We start from the raw sequence: 21,204 nt of genomic DNA on the forward strand, positions 1-21,204 counted from the left end.
TCTCAGAGCTGGGAGCCAGACCTCCATCTCCCTACTCCTTGCTCTGGGTCCTTGGGCAAGTGACTTTCCCCCAACTTTGGTCCATTTGGTCCTTCTTCTCCCTTAGAACTACCCAGAGAAGTTCCAGAGTAAAAGGAGAAGCCAGAAGGGAGGAGAAGTTGAATGATCTTGGCCAAATCCCTTCCTGTCTGGTCCTCAGTTTCCTCATCTGTATGGTGAGGACTCCTCCCACTGAGGCTCTGTGATGGTGATCCTAGCTGGGGAGTGCTCCAGGGGCAGGCCCAGCGGAGTCTTTTTTGGTGCTCATGTAGGGGTGGGGATGTCTGTGGTGGGTGGGTGGTGATATTTGTGGACCCACTGAGAAACTTTAGGAACGGGTTCTTTTGAACCCTTGGACCTGCTGGGCTATGAGGCTGGCACAGGCAGAATCCAGTTGCTGGGAGTGGAAATTGAGCTGGAGTGGCCTGGGGAAGCATGGCCTCCCTGTTGGGGTCTGATTAGCTTCTCTTAGGCTGCTTTGCCCAAATTCATGGCCTTGACTTTTACCTTGTCTGATGTCGATATCTTCATGTCATGCCCTTCTGAGCTGGGTCATAATAAGGTGACCCATTGTGTCCCTTGCTCCATCCTGGGAGCAGTCAAACTCTTATTCCTGTTACACAGAAGAGGAGACTGAAGCTCAGAGAGGCTAAGAGCTGGGGCCACAGGAGTGCAGCAAAGTGAGGTGTGAGCCCAGACTTCTGGCTGCTGAGTAATTTGTGGGGATCTGATTCTTATTAAGTGTGTACCCAACGTGGCTAAAACTTTTCCCAGGTATAGGAGGGGTGCGGTGCTGGGGGCAGGTGACCCTGACTCTCTGGGTTCCAGCTCTGGCTGATGGATTCCCCAGTCGGACGTGGAGTACTGGGATCTTGGGTGCTCACGGATGCTTATGCCATAAAGGGTAATGGAAGTAGCAAAGCCTTTGAAGCCAGTTGGTTCTGGGTTCAAATCGTGGCTTGGCCACTTGTTTGCTGTGTATGATTGTACAGCTTAGAACCTCAGTTTCCCCATCTGTGAAATGGGGATGACGAGGCTGGCACCAGCTTTGACAAGATGGCATGAAGATCCGATGAGCCAATGTGTGCCAAGTGCTTGGGCGCAGGGCCTGCACTCAGGAAGTGCATGATATTTATGAGTGCCTGTTAGAAAGGTGATTCCCTGATGAGGCAGGAATCCTGGGCCTCTGCAGGCCAACTGATCCGGAAATCACCAGGGCAGTGACCAGCCACCTTTGTCTGTGGTTGGCTTGTTCTGTGGGGAAGGGAGTGGGGGGAAGATTAACTAGAAACAGACAAGCTTGGTGACTGGATTGATTGGAAGCCACCAGCTCCATCCAGCCTCCCTGAGCCTGGCTTCTGCCTTAGCCCTTGCCTGCCTGTGACCTAGCATAGCCTCCCAGTGCCCCGATGCCTCACCCTGGCCTCCCTCCTCCGCCTCACTGAATGGGCCCCTCTCTTCAAAGGTGGATTCTATTTGAGCATCCTTGCCCGTTTGACCTGAGAGGTGAGAGCTGTTCCTGCTCTTGTTTTTTGGGAGGCAGCTGAAGCTCAGAGAGAGGCGGGGATGGGCTCGGGCTGCACAGCAAGGGCCCCTAGAGGTGCCCTGCCCCGATCATCTCCCATATTTTCGAGCCGTAGCTATCTTCCTGCCTGACCGGGGTTATCGGGCCGTACACCTTTGCCCCTGCAGCTCCCACTGCCTGGTGTGCCCTCCCTCTCAGTGCCCCTCCAGTGGCTGAGATGCTTCTGGCTTCAGAAGGCCTTTGTGAACACCCTGCCGGTCCCACTGAGTCCATGAGTCCGTACTGACCCCACATCCACCATTGAACTTCACCTTGTCCCTTCTTTGCCCTTCCTCATGGCTCTGACACATTCTGCCTTAGATGACAAGTCATAGGATTCTTTTTGCCTCTAAGGGAATATGGTAATCACCATATTCCCAAGGGCACAGCCCTTTACAGTTTACAAAGAACTTTCCGCAGTTACCTCTGTGCATCCCCAGCACCAGCGGGGCTGAGACAGACAGAACCACCGTAATAAACTTTGTGTGGCAGATGAGGAAACTGTGACCTCAAATCAGGGTCATGCCAGGTGCTCTCTCTGCTTGGGCAAATGGAACTGGACTCTTTCCCCACTGAGCCCGTCTCCTCAGTCTGGGACCCCTCTCCCAGAGCTCTGTGAATAGCATGACTTATTGTCAAAAGGAGGATTTGGAGGTTCAGAGAGGTAAAGTGACTTGCCTGAGGTCACGCAGCCCTGAAGGGACTTGGAGGGTTCCTTCTAAAAATCAGAGAAGAGGCAGATTGGGCCAGTTTTCCTCCCACTTCTGAAGGGAGGACCAGACACGCCCGGGACCCTGAAGGAGCAATGAGCCACCGTGAGCCCTTGCGGTCCCTTCAGCCAGCGTTCATTCCTCCAGCACGGAGTTGAGCCCTTCTGCAGTGCCAGGCAAATGGTTGTCTCATGCTCACAGCAGCCTCGCGGGGTAGTGGTCCCGGCCCCATTTCACCAAAGAGGAAGCTCAGGAGCCAGGGGACTTGCCCAAGGTCATCCAGTGCATGGATTTGAACCCAGGGCTTCCTGGGCATGCCAGGCCTGCCCCGCCTCATCTGGGCTGAGCCCTTCTCTACTTCCACAGACCCTTGATCAGCCCTCCAGCCCTCCCCACAGTTCCTCACTGGGCAGCGTGAAGACAGGGAGACTTCTCCTCTACCCCCAACTGCTGTCACCCACTAGCTGTGTGGCTTTGGTGAGTCAGTTTAACCTCTCTGTGCCTCAGTTTCCCCATCTGAAAAATGAGCCTAGTGGTAGAACCCACTCCATGGGCTTGTTGCAAGGATGAAGTCTTGTGTCCAACGCCCTCAGCAATGCCAGCACACAGTAAGTGCTCGGTGCGTGTTATTTTATTGCAATTTGTATTAACCTGGGGAAGAAGGGAAAGACCACCCCGTTATCCAGATGGGAAAATGGAGAGAAAGGAAATAGCATCCGCCAGGTCACAATGTGATGTCACAGCCAGAAGTCTCCTGGGGCGCATTCTGCTTTCCAGATGGGGAAACTGAGGCCTAGAACCTGAGAAGGGACTCAATCAAGGTCCTAATTTCTTGCCTTTAGTTTGGGTTGAAGCCTCCTTGTCCACCTGCTTGCCCTGGGACTATGGGTCAGTTGCTTCCCCTCGCTGAGGCTCAGTTTCTTTATCTGGGAAATGAGGGTAACAAGTGTGCACCCGGTGGGGCTGGGGTGGGGACTGGGTACGGTCATCTCCATAAAGCATTTAGTTCAAGGCCTGGCCTGGAGGCAGCACTCAACAGCTGCAGGGACGGACTTCCAGGACTCAATTTTCTCATCTGTGCCATGCTCTGTGCATGTCGTTGGGGAGACAGTTCCATCTTATCCCGCCAGTGTGTCTCCTCAGTCTCTTAGAAGCCACCCTAGGCAGGGGCAGGGGCAGGGGCCGGGGAGGTGAGGTCTGGCTTCTTATTCTGCCTGGGAGGCCAGGGCTGTGCCTTGTGGACTTTGTCCCTGAGTTGTGCCAAGTCCTCAAGGCTGGGCCTGGTTGGGAGACTGCACCAATCCCCACCAGGCCTTCTGGGTGCCCTGTGGTTGCCAGCACCCAGATCCTGCCACATCACTGCGTCTGCCTGCCTTTGCTGCCGCGTGCCCCGGGTGGTGGCTTCTCTTTCTGAGCCTTGGTTTTCCCACCTATGAGAAGGGGTAAGGAGTCTTCCTCACCGGGCTGTTGGGAAGGCTTGATGTGCTCATTCTCCCCATGCCAGGCTTATAGAAAGTGTCACTGTTAATGGGTACGGCTGTGAGGACGGGTAGGATCCTGACTGGCAGGAGGGGCGAGCAGCATCCTGGGTAGAGGATACACGTGAGCACAGGCTTGGAGGTGGCACAGTTTGGGGAGCACCCTGTAGCCAGGTGGGTGAAGTGGGAGAGGACCCCATAATGTGGGGATTTGGACTGGCGCTGGGTGAAGTGGGCAGGATCTCAGCGCCAACTGTGGTGATTTTGGGTGATGCTGACTCCCCTGCCCTCTAAACTTTAGATTTGTGTTTGAAGCCTCGGGAGCAGCCTCCTGCCCTCCCCACCCCCACCCCGCCAGGTGTTCCCGAAGGCCCCGGAACCAGATGAGACATAGTTCTATTTGGGGACAATACTGCTGTTCCCGTTTCTCTCCTGTGCCCTAGTTTTAGAAACGGAGTGGGTTTGGTTACCAGTTGGCCATTTGCAGCGAGCTCCCCCCTCCGCCCACTCCACCCATACCTTAGAGCTGTGGGCATCGCGGGCAAAATAGGACTCAGTGCTGCCACTGGGAGTGGCTCCTGGGCTCTGCCCCTGGGTTCTCTGGGTAGGGAGTTGGCAGCTGGACTCTCTGTTATCCACCGGTGATATCTGGGCCTTGTGATGGGTGCTGGGAACCCTGAGGATGTACTTGGGACATAGCTTATATTCTGGGGGAGCCAGAGAGACTCCAGTCATTTCCCTATGGCACGATGGGGTAGGGGCCATATGAACTATGGCAACCCAGCACAATGCCAGGAGAGCTTCCCGGAGGAGGTGATACCTGGCCTGGATCTTAAAGGATGAGCAGGAGCTCATGAGAAAAAAAAGAAGGGTGAGGGTGGGCCGGGAAGAAGGGACCGTGTGCAAAAATGTCTGGGGGTAGGAAGTAGCCAGGCGGTGTGGATAGCCATGGAGGTGGGGAGCAGCAGGCCAGGTACAAGGGGGTTAGAAGGTGGCTTGGCTGATCAGGCAGAGCCTCAAACCCTCACAGGGCACTCAGGCTTGGGCCTGGGGGTGATGAGAGCAGAGCAGGTTGAGGCCAGACTCTTGCTGCAGGTGTGGAGGACAGAGAAGGATCAGACCGGCCTCAGAGGCTCAATTACTTTTGCCAAGTAAAGGCAGCCCACAGGGTTCAAGACAGGGATCTAAAACCTCTCCCTGGGGCAAAAGGTAGGGGCTGACCTGGGGCCTTGGAGGGAGTGGGTCAGGGAAGACTTCCTGGGGGAGGAGGTACCCTGACTTACCGGAAGGATGGGAGGGACCTCTGAGGGGAGATAGAGCTTGACAAAGGGCCTGAAGGTGCCCTGTGAGCAGCTCCTCTTGGAGGTCTGAGGAGCCATGGAGTCTTGACTTGGGTCAGTTGGCTGGTGCCAATGGGTAGAGGGCCTGGGGGCCTGCTCCTCGGGCAGTGAGGAAGGGCTACTGGATGAGAGTAATGTATCCCACATTCTGGGTAGTGTCTGGGTCAGGGTCAGTGTGGCTTCAGTGAGGTGGCCCTGGTGGCCGCACTGAGAACAGATGGGCCTGGAGAGAAGCAGGCACTGGCAGGGGAAATGGCCAGGTCTGGGATGGACAGGGGAGTGGTGGGGGGCAGGGTGGGGAGCTTCTGCCCCTGGGTCCTTCTGCCTGTCCATCCTTTCCTCGAAGACGCCTGCCTGGCAGGAAGTGGTGGAGACGTGTTGCAGCCCAACTGGCAGATTCCCAAGGCGCCTGGGGCATTGGGCAAGGGCTCTGGGGTTAGGGCCCGGCCTCCCTTCCTTTTTGGGTAAACCTCACCAGGGCAAAGCTCCCCGACGTGGGTGAAGGGCTAGGCCTGATTGCCTCCATAAAGACCCCCTCTGCCCTCTTGAACCTGGAGGGTCTGGACTCTAGACAGGGGGAGTTGAGAGCCGTGGCTGTTGGCACTGGTGCCAGATGGGCCTGGATTAGAATCCAGGCTTTGTTACCTGCTGGCTGGCAGACCTTGGCCTTTGAGAGCCTCAGTTTCCCCATCCGCAAAAATGGGGGTCACACTAGAGCTTCCCTCCTACGGCTCCTGAGAGAGTGAAATGATATTGTGAAGAGCTGTGCCAGCACTCTGCCCGCCTCGTGGGTCTGTGTCTAGAGCTGTTGCCCCAGCCGGCTCGGGGACTGAGACTTGCTGGGCTGTGGGGGGCGGCTTCCGGTCTACCCTGGGCTCTCAGCACAGAGGACAAAGCCCCTTTGTGGAGGGCGGATGGAGCTTGAGAGCCCCTGTCCTTGGGGAGCAGGGGACTGCTTGCCCCTTCTCTTCACTCAGTTCCCCTGGGGAGAAGGAGCTTCCTCAGACACAGAGGGTGGGAAACGAAAGTCGGGCTGTGCAGGAGGACAGGCTGGGCTGGCTACAGCTGCCCTGGCCAACATCTGGCTGTGAGCTCGGATGGGCCCTTCTCTTCTCTGGGCCACCTTCTCAGGCAAGTCCCAGGCCTACTGTGGGTGCCCTGCTTGCTCTTCCATCCATCCATCCATCCATCCATCCATGATCAGGTACTCACTCCATGCTAGGCTGTGTGCCTTTGGCCAGTGTCTGTTCTGACCCACTGGTACCCAAGCATCCCAGCTGTTCATTGTTTTGAATATTACACCTGCTGCAGAGTATTAAATTATAGGGAAGACAGAAGTGGCCCCCGTCCCCGTGAGACAGGTTCTCACACAGTGAGTTATGTCATCAGAGCTGTGGTCGGTCCATGCTAGGAAGCAGAAGTTGAAGATCCTCACTTGGACTGGGGTTTGAGGGAGGCTTTCTGTGAGGAAGTGGCTTTGGAGCTGAGACTTGGAGAGCAGAGTTGGCTGGGTGTATCAAGAAACAGGTGGTCGAGCAAGGCCTGTCTGAGCAGATGGCTGAGTCCTGAAGACCTGAAGGAGGCAAGGGAGTGAGGGTGTAGGTGAGGGTGGAGTGTGCTGCCAGTGCAGGAACAGCAGGTGCAAAGGCCCTGAGGCAGGAGTGTGCTGGCTTTTCAGGGAAGGGGCAGGCGGCTGGTGTGGATGGAGTAGAGCGAGGGGAGGGATGGGGTTGGTGGAGGCCACTGAGGGCCTTGGAGGCCCCTGTGACGACTTTGGCCTTTGTGTCAGGAGTGTGGGTTCTGTGGGTGGTATTAAGCAGGAACGAAGGGTTCAAACTGACATTTCAGAAGGGTTCCCTGCTCTGTATTAGCCAGCCTGAGAGGAGGAGGCTGGGCACAGTAACGGTCCCTACCCCACAGTGCTGGCAGGAGGAGCCGATGAGACTGAGTGTGAAGTGCCGAACTGATGTCCTGCATACGCCATGTGTTCAGTAGTTAGTAAGGATTTTGATCGCTGTTGTTTTTGTGGGGAGTAAGGGCATGTGTGTGGGCCCGGGCTCTGGCCGTGGTCACCCCAGAGCTGGGCTTTGGGAAGGGGCTGGAGGGCTGAGTGGCCCCTTTCAGGTAACTCAGCACCTTGGGATTCACAGTCCTGGAATCCATACCCAACACCACTTTCCACACAGGGAAACTGAGTCCAGAAGGGCTCGTGGATTCACTCAAGTCTCCCCAGCACCTTGGGACAGATCAGGGTTTCCGTACCGGGTGGTCTCTGCACAGCCCAGGGCTCACCTCTCCTTGCCCTCTTCAGGCGCCACCCACTTCCAGGCAGTACGCTTCCTTGGAGGGCTTCCAGGCCCTGCACAGGTCCCATTGGGAAGGGATCCAGTCCCCTACAGTGCAGGCCAGGGATTGGGGTCTGATAGAGGCCCCTTTTCTGCCTGGGAGGAAGCAGAAGAGCGGTCAGGGCTGGGACAGTTGTGCTCTCCAGGGCGTGAGTTTGGTAGGAGCTCCGTGGCCCCCCTGCTGGGCTTCTGCCCTTTCTGGGCTGCAGGCCCCGTCCCCAGTGCACCCCTCCATGTCTGCCGGTGTCCGCCCCGGCCTGCCGTCTCCACCCCAGCCCCACTGGCAGAGCCGGTTTGAGTCTACTGTCCCTGAGCATGTTCGCGCCGCGGACACGGGACCAGGCATGTCCTGGCTGCCCTGGCACGCGCACGGCCCCTTGCTCACTCTTCACTCACTCTTTGCTCACTCAGCAAACATCCTCTGGGACCTCAGTTCCTGGCCTGGGCCATGCTGGGTGGGGATCAGGGCCTGGAGTTGTCTCAGACTTGCTTCTGCCCTGTGTAAGCCAGGGTGGGCAGAAGCTCTGCCGCAGAGATGGACCAGGCAGGTGGCAGGAGGGCACAGTGGTGGGGCATAGGCTGTGGGACTGGACAGATCTGGGGCCGAGGGCTGCCACCTCTTATTCCTGTGGGGCCCTAGGTGGGGCCCATCCGTCGGTCTATCCATCCCACAAATATTTTCTGTGCTCAACAATGTTCTAGAGCTGCAGATAGCAAGGAACCAACCAAAGATCCCTGCTTTTGCAAAGCTCACATTCTAGAGGGGGAGACAGAAGAACACAACAAATAAGGAAACTGCACACACAGCCCGTAAGAAGGCGGTAAGGGCCACGAATCCATAATGCAGGGAAGCGGGTGGGCCTGCTGGTGGGCTCGTGGAGGATGGGTCGCAATTAGATGGTGGCCAGGGAAGGCTTCACACCTCAAAGAAGCTCACAACAAAGGAGGGGAGGGAGGAGCCATGCAGCTCCCTGGGGAGGGAACAGCCAGTGGGGAGACCCCGAGGCAGGGGAGAGCCTGGAGTGCTGGTGGAACTGGAGGGGGCCAGGGGAACAGAGTGAGAAAGGGGAAGAACAGGGGAAGAATGGAGAGAGGAGGGCGGATCAGGGAGGGCACCTGAGCCATCTAAAACGCAGGCTTTGGACTTGGAGCGAGATGGGGTCACACGAGGGTCCTGGGTGCACCTGGCTGCTGTGTGAAGAGCAGACTGGGGGCTGAGGGTGGAGGTGGGTGGACCAGTGAGGTGGCTGCTGCCTTAGTCTAGGGGGTGGCGGTTCGCTCAGTCTGGGCGTAGTTATTGGGAGGGTCAAAGGGCCAAGCATTTTTTTTTTCTTTGCATCATTTAAGTTAATCTTGCTTTTCCCACTCTATTCTGGAGGCATGTTCATAGAATGAACCCCATGAACCCATCGCTGAGCCAAGCACCACTACCCATGGCCAGTCCTGCCTCCTCCACACCTGTTCTATCCCATCCTATCTTGTGTCATTTTAGAGCAAATGACAGGCATCTTATTTCACGTGTGAAATATTTCAGTGTGTATCTCTAAAAGACAAGGACTCTTGTGTTTAAAAAGTAGCCATAAAACTAAAGTCCATGTAAAAAATGTGAACAATTTCTTTCTCTTTCTCTCTCTCTCTTTTTTTTTTTTTTTTTTTTGGTGAGACAGGGTCTCACTCTGTCACCCAGGCTGGAGTGCAGTGGTGCAATTACAGCTCACTGCAGCCTCAAGCTCCTGGGCTTGAGCGATCCTTCCACCTCAGCCTCCTGAGTAGCTGGGACTACAGGCGCATACCACCCCACCTGGCTAGTTTTTAAAATTTTTAATTTGTAGTGATGAGGTCTCTCTATGTTACCAAGACTGGTCATTCCTGAGTCAATTCCTGACTCAAGTGATCCTCCTGCCTCTGCCTCCCAAAGTGCTGGATTACAGGCGTGAGCCACCATCTAATGGCCTAACTTCTTAATATCAGCAAAAATCCCCTCCTCTCCCAGATATATTTTGATGGTGCAACTGATGTCTCTGGACTTCCCCCTCCTTGCCATAAAGCGAGGTTCATAATAGCCCCCGCTGTCATGCTATTGTGAGATCATTCAAGTAGGATGCCTAGCATAGGCCCGGCACATAGTAGGTGCTCAACAAAGAATAGCTGCTCCTACTCTTTTGACTGATAGCAAACACTTAGGGCACACTTGCTAGGGTCTGGGTCCAGTCCTGTGTGCTTCACAGATATAAACTTATTTAATCCTCACAACAGTCCTTTGAGGTAGATGATGTGTATCACTATTTGACAGGAGAGGCAGTGGAGGCACAGAGAGGTGGAGTAACTTTCCCAAGGTCACACAGCAAGGAAGGGCCAGAGCTAGGTTTTGAATCCTGGTAGTCTAGCTCTTAATCCCTATGTGGTGGAGGCTACATTAGCCCAGAAAAGGGTGGCGGTCCCTCTCTCAGCTTGTGGGGGGGCAGGCAAGGTCAGGTACTGCCTGTGGTCAGGCCGAAAGGGTACACTGTAGTTCATGGTGGGGCAGTGAAAGGGGAGGTGGGTGGTGGAGCTTAGGGGGGGAAGAATATGTGCAAAGGCTTGGAAGCTAGAGGGTAGTTACGAGTTTAAGGGAGGGTCAAGGGATGGGAGCTTGCGGCAGGCCCCCTCCATCCAAGTTTGGCCTTGGTCCTGTGATCACCAGGCTGGAGTGTCGATCGTTTTTATCATCTTACGATCACCCGTCCCCAGCCTGTCTCGGATGCCCTCTCCTCCCTCTGATACCTGCCAGAGACCCATTTCATGGATGAGTAAAGGCAGGCTGACCTTCCTGTGACCACACAGCCAGGGGCAGGCCACCTGCAGGCTTGAACGGGGCCAGGGGGTGGGTTTGGGGCTCAGGCTGGGCCGTGTGGAGGGCCCTGGCCACTAGGCGCTCCTGCCCACCAGTGTCCCTGGAGGGAGATACTGCATGGGTGTGGGCGGGGAGGAGGGGGCACTGTGTGTTCCCAAAGCAGCTGGCAGGGAACAGTGGGTGCCATGGGCAGGGGCCGGCTGGCGGCCATCTCCACAAGGCACATCAGCCATCACCCATCAGGGGTGGGGCAGCTGGGGGCTCTCGGAAAGATGACCTACGGCTGGGAGAGAGCAAAACTTGCCACCTCAGTGTTCTCTGTGATCCTCTCCTGACACTGAGCAGGGGCAGGGCAGGAGTGCTGCTGAGGGCCTCTGTGTGCAGGTAGAGATGCCGGGGTCTCTGTGTGCAGGTAGAGATGTAGAGATGCCGGGGTCTCTGTGTGCAGGTAGAGATGTAGAGATGCCGGGGTCTCTGTGTGCAGGTAGAGATGCCGGGGTCTCTGTGTGCAGGTAGAGATGCCGGGGTCTCTGTGTGCAGGTAGAGATGTAGAGATGCTGGGGTCTCTGTGTGCAGGTAGAGATGCTGGGGTCTCTGTGTGCAGGCAGAGATGCTGAAGCCCAGGTTAGCTCTTATTTATGTCTTTATTTATTTTTTTGAGACAAGGTCTCACTCTGTTGCCCAGGCTGGAGTGCAGTGGTGTAATCATAGCTCACTGCAGCCTCAAACTCCTGGGTGCAAGCAATCCTCCCACCTCGGCTTCCTGAGTAGCTGGAACTCTTGGGCACCACCATGACCGGTTACATTTTTTTTCTATTTTTTTTTTGTAGCGATGGGGGTCTCACTTTGTTGCCCAGGCTGGTCTCAAACTCTTGGCCTCAAGCGATCCTCCCATCTTGGCCTCCTGAGTCACTGGGATTACAGGTGCAAGCCACTGCTCCTGGCCGCACAGTGATTCTCATGGAAGCCTTCCATTCAGCCACGTGGTGGTTAGCCCTCAGCAGGCTGGGCCCCAAGGTTCTGTCTCCTCTTCCAGTTTCTCCTCAGCTCAGTGCTCTGGGGCCTGGTGCCCCAAGAATCTTATCCTCAGTGCCATTGCCCCCAGCCCACACCCTCATTCCAGGGCAGGCCTTGGTCTTGCTGTGTGACCAAGGCCCGGCAGCCCCCTTCTCTGAGCCTTAGCCTCCTCAGCTGCCAAGGAGAAGGGCCCACGAAAGCTCCTGGGGGTTGAGGCTGTGACCCCCTGGCCTTGTGAGCTGCCCTACCCACCCCGTTACGGGGCGGCCTGGTGACAGACTCTGGGATGGTTCCTGGGGTGGGGTGGGGGGGTCTGCGAAGCCTCCTAACCCCTCCAACTCACCAGTCCCTAGATGCTGTCTCCTTCTCAGTGACCTCACTCCAGGGTGTGGGGGCTCGGAGGAGGGAGAGATGGTGGGAAGTGGGTATAGGGAAGAGAGCGCCACCCTGGTGTGCCAGTCTTTCCCCCATTTTGCCGCTGAGGAAACTGAGGCTGCAGGACTGAAATTGACATAGCTCCCTCGCCTTTCTCTAAGCGGTCCCAGCTGCAGGCCCTGTCAAAGCCATCCCACCTGCCTGGATCACACTCCCCACCCTCTCTTCACAAACCGCCTAGCCTTTGGGCCTCAGCTGAGATACCCCCTCCTCTGGGAAGGCCACCATGGTTTAGGTGTCTCCTCTTGCCCCTCTGGCCCTTTGGAGCTGGAGATGACGGTCCCTGACAAGACACTGTGGGAAGGGCCACTGTTCTCTGACCGCCGGCTCCCAGGGGCCTGAGAAAAGCTTCCTGGCCCTGCTCTCAGTTTTGCAGGCCTTCGTGACTTGCATTGAACATATCCCTCTCAGGGTCTTCCCCGGGCCCCCTCGTGCCTAGGCCAAGGGCCAGCAGTGACCCAGTTATACCGGAACACACTCTGGCCAGACCTCGCTCTGAACAAGGCCCTGCCCACCTGGCACCCTGGTCCGCCTGCGCCTCTGCACCCAGGCTCCCTCCTGGGTCGCCCTTGCTGTGCTCCTCACAGGGGAGGTGGGGTAGGATGGGCTCTGGTGTCCCTCGGATCTGGCTGGTATCCTGGCTGTCTGCCTTCTGGCTGGGGCAGCCTCCTGGGGCCCCTGTGGCCTTGTATGTAAAACGAGTGTGGCCACAGCTTGCTACAGGGCTGCTGGGAACATTGGAGGGGAGCGTGAACCCCGGGCGGGAGGATGTGAAGGGGAGAAGTGTGGGTTTCTGCACCCCCATCAGCACACCCCATTCCACCCCCGCCTGGACCAGAGCAGCTGGTGACATTGGGTTTTGCCAAGAGGAGCCCAGGCTCCTTCCTTGGGCGGTTCCCAGGGGCTCTGGGTGGCCGTCCCGGTTAGGGAGACATGCAGAGCGTTAGGGATTGTCACTCGGCTGCTAAGAGTTGGGATCTCAGGCACGCCATTTAACCTGTCTGTGCTTCAGTTTCCTCATCTGTGCGATGGTGTGATGAGCGTGGTGCATGGCAGGTGCCTGACAAGTCCTTCGGCTCTCCCATCAGGGAGAGGATGGCTGCTAATGGGCCAAGTCCCTGCCCACCGCCTTCCCCCTCCATCCCCGCACAGGCCTGATACTACACCCACCACTGCTCTTCCCTGCCCCGCCTCCCACCTCTCCCCTGCCATTGGGGTACTGTTATCAGGAGGCATTCCAGGACTGGCTGAGAACAGCTTCCACCCTGGGCCCTTCTGAGAGGATGCGATCACTGATAGATGCCCTGCCGGGGCCTCCTTTGAGGAATGGGCTCTGGGGTACGAGACGGTGGAACCCAGATAGTCTGGGTTTGCCTCCTGGTGCTGTGTCTTATGAGCTGTGTGACATCAGGCAAGCAGCCCCGCCTCTCTGTGCTTCAGTTTCCTCATCTGCAAATCAGAGCCCACCACAGAGGGTTGGGGTGGTTCACTGAGCTCGTAAGCATGGTGCCCGCCACCCAGGAGCACCGTGATGGTGACGCCGTAGCTGTTGTTATCCTCTGAGGACCAACTGTCCCTCCTCCTTGTGGGGCCCCTGGTTTATTTGGCCTCTGTGTCCACCCCGTGATGAGGGCGTGGCAGGAGGACCCCTCTGGACTTTCTCTTCTCCAGGTCTAGGGGACAAGGAGAGGGTGGAGCTGAGAGAGGCTATGTTCAGAAATTGGGAACCTGCTGTGTGATCTTGGATGGCCCCTCTCCCTTTCTGAGCCTCCATTTCCTGGCCTGCTCTATGAGCACGTGGACCTGGCCCCTCGTTATCCTTGTCACGATACTTTCAGTAGTTCCTCCCTCGGCCAGCCCAGCCACATGGCTTTTGACTGTTTTTCCCACTACGGCATCTGGGGCGCAGTAGGTGCTCAGCTAAATCTTGTTGGAGAAGCCCAGGAGTGCACCACTGAGTGGCTGTCCCGGGCTTTCCCACTCCCGGCCTCTTGCTTGTGTAGCCCCCTTTGCCAAGAATGTGGCCCCCATTCATCTCTACTTGTGGAAATCCTTGTCCTCGAAGCCCTTCGCAAATGCTGCCTCCCCTAGGAAGCCTTTCCCAGTTTCTCCCAGCCAGAGGAGATGCTGGTCCTTGGAACACTTGCTCTGAGGCTCTCTGGTGGTCCCTGTTACAGTGCACTGCCGTGTCCATAGTAACAGATGAATGGCAAACAGGGACTGTGCACTTGCTAGGAGCCAGGCACAGGGGGAGGCCCTGAGCTTGTGCTGTCTTATTTCATCTTCCACACCAACCTCACAAGGTGGATATTAATCCTATTGTCCCTCCCTTTACAGAACAGAGAACAGAAGCTCAGAGAAGTGAAGCAACTTGCCCAGCTATGAGAGACAGAGCCAGGATTTGAAACCAGGTAAGCCTGTGTTTTTTCTTAAAAAGGAAAGAAAAGACATCAACACACACACACACACACACACACACACACACACACACACACACACACACACGACAGGGAAAAGTAAGCCTCTCTCACACCCAGGTCTCCTTGCCAGAGGCAACCACTTGAAAAAATTTCTGGTGTATCCTTCCAGGGAGATCCAAGCATATATAAGCATGTATATTAACAATTTTTTTAGCATAATGTGAATTTCAATAATGATGGGAATGCCAGGTGTTGATATTTTTAGCTTCTGCACTTGACTCAATATTACATATTTGCAAAGAATTTTTTTTTTTTCTTAGACAGGGTCTTACTCTGTTGCCCAGGCTGTAGTGCAGTGTCACAATCATGCTCACCGTAGCTTCGAAATCCTGGGCTCAAACGATCCTCCCACCTCAGTGTCCCAAGGAGCTGGGACTGCAGGCACATGCACCACACCCAGCCAGTTATTTATTTTTTTGTAGAGACAGAGTCTCACTATGTTGCCTAGGCTAGTCTCGAATGCCTGTGCTCAAGCAATCCTCCTGTCTTGGCCTCCCAAAGTACTGGGATTATAGGTATGAGCCATCATCCCTGGCCAGAATTTTTTTTTTTTTTAGACAAATGATAGCACACACTCTACCCTGTCCAACACACACAATTGACTTTTTTCTCTTGACAGTGTACCTCAGAGATCATTTATTTGTGCTGCACTTTTCTTGTTCATGGTTGCGTAGTATTCCACTGCATGTATGGTAGTCACACTTTATTTAATTAAGGACAGATATTTTGGTTGTTTCCAGGCTTTTGCTTGTTCTAGACAATTCCACAAATGAATATCCTCAATCATATGCCTTGTGTTTGTGTGTTCTTTTAGGATCAATTCCACCTTGCAGGGCCGGTGGGTGTGTAATTGTGATAGGTATTGCCAAATTGTCTTTCAGAGAGATTGTGCTGGTGTCACCACGCCCTCTGTTCTCCTCACTCTCACCAGCATAAATTGCATAAGTGCAATTTGCCAATCTGATAGGTGAACAGTGGCCCCCAGTGTAGTTTATTTGAAAAATGTGTATCACAGCTTTACTGAGATAAAATTCCCATACCATACAATTTATCTATTTAAAGTATACAATTCAGTGGTTTTTAGTAGAGTCACGGAATTGTACAATCGTCACCACAGTCAAATTTAGAACATTTTCATTACTCCAGAAAGAAACTTCACCCATTACAGTCACTCCCCACTTCCCCCTAAACTTCCCTTCCCTAGGCCTAGGCAGCAACTAATCTAGTTTCTGTTTCTATAGATTTGCCTATTCTGGACATTTAATAGAAATGGAATCATTCAAGTGTGCTCTTTTGTGGCTGGCTTCTTTCACTTAGCATAATGTTTTCAAGATTCACTCATGTTGTAGCATGGATCAATATTTCATTTTTTTTTCTTGCCAAATAATATTCTATCATATGGATATACCATATTTTATTTATCCATTCATCAGTTGATGGACATTTGGGCTTTCTGGCTATTATGGGTAATGCTGTTCTGGACATTCATGCACAAGTTTTTGTATAGACATATGTTTTTCATTTCTTTCGAGTGTGTACCTAGGAGTAGAATTGCTAGATCATATGGTAATTCCGTGTTTAACTTTTTGAGGAACTGCCAGACTGTTTTGCAAAGCAGCTGCACCATTTTACATTCCCATCAGCAATGTCTGAGGGTTCCAATTTCTCCACATTCTTGCCAACATTTGTCTTTTAGATTCTAGCCATCCATCCTAGTGTCTGTGAAGTGGCATCTCATTGTGGTTTTGATTTTTTTTTTTTTTTTTTTTGAGACAGGGTCTCACTCTGTTGCCAAGGCTAACTGCAACCTCAAACTCTTGGGCTCTAACAATCCTCTCATCTCAGCCTCCCAAGCAGCTGGGACCAAAAGTGTGTGCCACCACGCCTGGCTAATTTTTTTTTTTTTTTAAATTTGTGGAGATGGGGTCTCACCGTGTTGCCCAGGCTGGTCTCGAACTCCTGGGCTCAAGTGATCCTCGCACCTCAGCCTCCCAAAGTGCTGGGATTACAGGCATGTGCCATTGTACTTGGCTGTTTTGATTTGTATTTCCCTAATTACTAGTGACATTAAGCATCTTTTCATGTGCTTATTGGCAATTTGTATATCTTCTTTGGAGGAATGTCTATTCAAGTTCTTTGCCTATTTTTATGATTAATGTAATCTATTTTTTTCCTTAGAGACAGGGTCTCACTATGTTGCCCAGGCTAGTCTTAAAGTCCTGGCCTCAAGTGATCACCCTGCCTCAGCCTCCCAAGTACCTAGGACTATAAGTGCATGCCACCATGCCTGACTTAATTTTTTTTTTTTTAATTTTGTAGAGATAGGATCTTACTCTGCCACCCAGGCTGGAGAGCAATGCTGTGATCATAGCTGACTGTAACCTCAAATTCCTGGGCTCAAGCAATCCTCCCATCTCAGCCTCCTGAGTAGCTAGGACCACAGGCATGCAACACCACGCCTGGCTAATTTTTAAAAAAGTTTTAGTAGGGGTCTCACTATGTTTCCCAGGCCGGTCTCAAGCTCCTGGCCTCAAGAGATCCTCCTGTCTTGGCTTCCAAAGCACTGGGATTACATGCATGAGCCACTGTAAGAGATTTTTATATATTGTAGATACAAGTCTCTTGTCAGATATATGATTTGCAAATATTTTCTCCTATTCTGTGGGTTGTACTTTTATTTTCTTGATGTTGTTCTTTGGAAAACAGAAGTTTTTAATTGTGATGAAGTGCAGTTTATTTTTCCTTTTGTTGCTTGTGCTCTAGGTGTTGTATTTAAGAAATCATAATCTGGCCAGGTGCGGTGGCTCACACCTGTAATCCCAGCACTTTGGGAGGCCGAGGCGGGTGGATCACCTGAGGTCAGGAGTTAGAGACCAGCCTGGCCAACATGGTGAAACCCCGTCTCTACTAAAAATACAAAAATTAGCCAGGCGCACTGGCGGGCACCTGTGATCCCAGCTACTCAGGAGGATGAGGCAGGACAATCACTTGAATTCGGGAGGCGGAGGTTGCAGTGAGCTGAGATCGCACCATTTTACTTCAGCCTGGGCAACAGAGTGAGACTCCGTCTCAAAACAAACAGACAAATAAACAAACAAACACAAATAAACCAACCAAACAAACAAAAAAAGAAATCATAATCCAAGGTCATAACATTTATGCCTATATTTTCTTTTTTTTTTTTTTTTTTTTTTTTTGTTTTTTTTTTTTTTGTTTTTTTTTTTGAGACGGAGTCTCGCTCTGTCGCCCAGGCTGGAGTGCAGTGGCGGGATCTCGGCTCACTGCAAGCTCCGCCTCCCGGGTTCACGCCATTCTCCTGCCTCAGCCTCCCAAGTAGCTGGGACTACAGGCGCCCGCCACTACGCCCGGCTATTTTTTGTAGTTTTAGTAGAGACGGGGTTTCACCGTTTTAGCCGGGATGGTCTCGATCTCCTGACCTCGTGATCCGCCCGCCTCGGCCTCCCAAAGTGCTGGGATTACAGGCGTGAGCCACCGCGCCCGGCTATGCCTATATTTTCTTATGAGAGTTTTTTATTTTTACCTCTTTCATTTAGGTTTGTGATCCAATTTGTGTTGATTTTTATGCAGGATTTGAGGAAGGTGTCCAGCTTCTTCTCCCTTGAATTGTCTTGGCACCCTTGCATAAAATCAATTGACTGTCAATGTGATTGTTTCCTTTTGGACTCTGAATTCCCCTCCACTGGTTTATAAGTCTACACTTATACCAGTACCATGCTGTTACTGTTGTTTTACAGTTTTGAAATTGAAAAGTGTGAGTCCTCAAACTTTGTTTTTCTTAAAGACTGTTTGGCTATTCTGGGTCCCATGACTTTCCATATGAATTTTAAGATCAGTTTGTCAATTTTGGCAAAGAAACTAGCTGGGACTTTGATAGGGAGCAGACCAATTGGGGAGTATTGCCATCTTAATAATATTTAGGCTTCTGAGCCATGAACACGGGATGTCTTTCCATTTCTTTCAAAATTTTTTTGTAGTTTTCGGAGTATAAGTTTTATACTTTCATTAATCTTTTTCCTAAGTATTCTTTTGATGCTATCATAAATTTCCTTCTTAATTTTATTTTTGGATTCTTCATTGCCAACCTATAGAAATACAATGTATTTTTGTGTATTGATTTTGTACTTTACAGCCTTGCTGAACTCATTTATTAGTTCTACTGATTTTTTGGTGGAATTCTTAGGATTTTCTATATATAAGATCATATTATCTGCAAAAAAAGAGAGTTTTCCTTCTTCCTTTCTAATCTGGATGCCTTATGTTTCATTTTCGTTCCTAATTGTCCGGGCTAGAAGCTCCAGTACAATCTTGAATAGAAGTGGTGAGGGTAGATATTCTTTTCATTTCTGATCTTGGGGGGATGGCACGCAGTCTTTTACCGTTAAGTAGGATGTTAGCTCTGGGGTTTTCTTTTTCTTTTTTCTTTTCTTTCTTTTCTTTTTCTTTTTTTTTAAGATGGGAGTCTCACTCTGTCACCCAGGCTGGAGTGCAGTGGTGCGATCTTGGCTAACTGAAACCTTTGCCTCCTGGGTTCAAGCGATTCTCCTGCCTCGGCCTCCTGAGTAGCTGGAATTACTGGCATCTGCCACCACACCCAGCTAATTTTTGTATTTTTAGTAGAGATGAGATTTTACCATGTTGGCCACACTGGTCTCTAACTCCTGACCTCAGGTGATCCACCCGGCTCGGCCTCCCAGAGTGCTGGGATTGCAGGTGTGAGCCACCACACCCGGCCTAGCCGTGAGGTTTTCATTGCTGCTTTTTATCTGGGTGAGGAGGTTCCCTTCTATCGTTTTTGTCATGAAGGAGTGTTGAATTTTGTCAAATGCTTTTTTCTACATGTATTAGAATTATTACCTGGTTCTTGACCTTTATTATATTGGTATAGTGTATCACATTAATCGATTTTCAGAAGTTAAACCAACTTTGGCTGGGCTTGGTACCTCACGCCTGTAATCCCAGCACTTTGGGAGACCAAGGCGGGAGGATTGCCTGAGGTCAGGAGTTCGAAACCAGCCTGGCCAACATGGCGAAACCTTGTTTCTACTAAAAATACAAAAATTAGCCGGCTGTGCTGGCAGGCACCTGTAATCCCAGCTACTTGGGAGGCTGAGGAACAAGAATCGCTTGAACCCAGGAGGTGGAGGTTGCAGTGAGCCGAGATCGTGCCACTGCACTCCAGCCTGGGTGACAGAGAAAGACTCCGTCTCAAAAAAAAAGTTAAACCGACTTTATATTCCTGACATCGGTCTTACTTGGTCATGGCATCTAATTCTTTTCATATGTTGCTGGATCCAGTTTTCTAGTATTTTGTAGAAGATTTATATACATGTAATATATATATTCATTTTCATAAAAGTCATTGGTCTGTAATTTTCTTTTCTTGTGATGTCTTTGTGTGGTTATGGTATCGGGGTAATACCGGCTTCAGAAAATGAGTTGGGAAGTGTTTCCTAGAGAAGAACTGGTATAATTTCTTCTTTAAAAATTTGGTAGAATTCACCAGTCCAGCTATCTGGGCCTGGGCTGCTTCTGTGAGAAGATTTAAAATTAATAATTCCATCTCTTTACTTGCTTTAGATTTATTTGAATTTTCTATTTCTTCTTCTTCTTCTTCTTCTTCTTCTTTTTTTTTTTTTTTGAGACGGAGTTTCACTCTTGTTGCCCACGCTGGAGTGCAATGGCGCCATCTCGGCCCACCTCAACCTCCGCCTCTTGGGTTCAAGCAATTCTCCTGCTTCAGCCTCCTGAGTAGCTGGGATTACAGGCATGTGCCACCACGCCCGGCTAATTTTTTATTTTTAGTAGAGGCAGGGTTTCACCATTTACGTGTGGCCCAGGCTGGTCTTGAACTCCTGAACTCAGGTGATCTGCCTGCCTTGGCCTCCCAAAGTGCTGGGATTACAGGCGTGAGCCACCGTGCCCAGCCTATTTCTTCTTATTTTTGATAATTTGTGTTTTTTTCCTAGGAATTTCATCTAAGTTATCTAGTTTGTTGACATAGAATTATTCATAGTAGTCTCTTATAATCTTTGTTTCTTTAAGGTTAGTAATAATGTCTTCCCTTTCATTCCTGAGTTTAGTAATTTGAGTCTTCTCTTTTTTTCTTGTTCAGTGTAGCTAAAGGTTTGTCAATCTTGTTGATCTTTTCAAAGAATCACCTCTTGGTTTTGTTGATTTTCTCTATTGCTTTTTATTTTTTATTTCATTAATTTCTGCTCTAATTTTTATTCTTTCCTTCCTTGTATAGCTTTAGGTTTAGTTTGCTCTTCTTTTCACAGTGTCTTAAGGTAGAAGTTTAGGTTATTGATTTGAAATCTTTCTTATTTTTATTTTTATTTATTTACTTATTTTGAGATGGAGTTTCACTCTTGTTGCCCAGGCTAGAGTGCAATGGTGTGATCTCAGCTCACTGCAACCTCCACCTCCCAGGTTCAAGCAATTCTCTTGCCTCAGCCTCCCAAGTAGCTGGGATTACAAGGCACCTGCCACCACGCCTGGCTGATTTTTGTATTTTTAGTAGAGATGGGGTTTCACCATGTTGGCCAGGCTGGTCTTGAACTCCTGACCTCCAATCCGCCCCCCCTTGGTCTCCCAAAGTGCTAGGATTACAAGTGTGAGCCACTACACCTGGCCTATTTCTATTTTTTGAGAGAGGGTCTCGCTCTGTTGCCCAGGCTGGAGTGTAAGTGGCACGATCATGGCTCATTGCAGCTCTGAACTCCGGGGCTTGAGCAGTCCTCCTGCCTCAGCCTCCCGAGTAGCTGGGACTACCGGCAGGTGCCACCATGCCTGACGATTTTTCGTGTGTGTGTGTGTGTTTTTTAGAGATGGGGATTTCACCATCTCCTGAGCTCAAGCAATCCACCTGTCTCAGCCTCCCAGAGTGCTAGGATTACAGGCGTGAGCCACCACATCTAGACGGTTTCCTTTTTTTAAAATATA

The 21,204-nt window shown here is 51.7% G+C and overlaps 1 protein-coding gene across 21 annotated transcripts in view, besides 5 other annotated features; it reads left to right on the top strand.

Moving 5' to 3' along the window:
* The window catches only part of SRC (SRC proto-oncogene, non-receptor tyrosine kinase), a 61,352-nt gene that overhangs the window by 6,407 nt on the left and 33,741 nt on the right, over window positions 1-21,204 (top strand). For 19 of the 21 annotated variants that reach the window (XM_047440400.1, XM_047440407.1, XM_047440396.1 and 16 more), the window contains one exon: window positions 14,099-14,172. The gene's annotated coding sequence lies outside the window, so the exon portion shown is untranslated. Of the gene's footprint in view, window positions 1-106; window positions 216-3,666; window positions 3,756-14,098; window positions 14,173-21,204 lie in introns of those variants that run through there. The other 2 variants (XM_047440399.1, XM_047440404.1) reach the window with 2 other exon arrangements.
* Window positions 5,995-6,044: an enhancer, noted in NCBI's record as "active region_17838". NCBI's record gives its function as "activates an Ori minimal core promoter by ATAC-STARR-seq in GM12878 lymphoblastoid cells {active_cell/tissue: GM12878}" and the evidence as "EXISTENCE:reporter gene assay evidence [ECO:0000049][PMID:35858748]".
* Window positions 6,415-6,464: an enhancer, noted in NCBI's record as "active region_17839". NCBI's record gives its function as "activates an Ori minimal core promoter by ATAC-STARR-seq in GM12878 lymphoblastoid cells {active_cell/tissue: GM12878}" and the evidence as "EXISTENCE:reporter gene assay evidence [ECO:0000049][PMID:35858748]".
* Window positions 7,669-8,239: an enhancer, noted in NCBI's record as "H3K4me1 hESC enhancer chr20:35987177-35987747 (GRCh37/hg19 assembly coordinates)". NCBI's record gives its function as "activates a minimal SCP1, AML or CMV promoter by ChIP-STARR-seq in naive H9 embryonic stem cells {active_cell/tissue: H9 hESC(naive)}" and the evidence as "EXISTENCE:reporter gene assay evidence [ECO:0000049][PMID:30033119]".
* Window positions 14,152-14,221: an enhancer, noted in NCBI's record as "active region_17840". NCBI's record gives its function as "activates an Ori minimal core promoter by ATAC-STARR-seq in GM12878 lymphoblastoid cells {active_cell/tissue: GM12878}" and the evidence as "EXISTENCE:reporter gene assay evidence [ECO:0000049][PMID:35858748]".
* Window positions 15,538-15,637: an enhancer, noted in NCBI's record as "active region_17841". NCBI's record gives its function as "activates an Ori minimal core promoter by ATAC-STARR-seq in GM12878 lymphoblastoid cells {active_cell/tissue: GM12878}" and the evidence as "EXISTENCE:reporter gene assay evidence [ECO:0000049][PMID:35858748]".

This window comes from Homo sapiens, chromosome 20 (genome assembly GCF_000001405.40).
Source record: "Homo sapiens chromosome 20, GRCh38.p14 Primary Assembly".
Taxonomy (NCBI): Eukaryota; Metazoa; Chordata; class Mammalia; order Primates; family Hominidae; genus Homo; species Homo sapiens.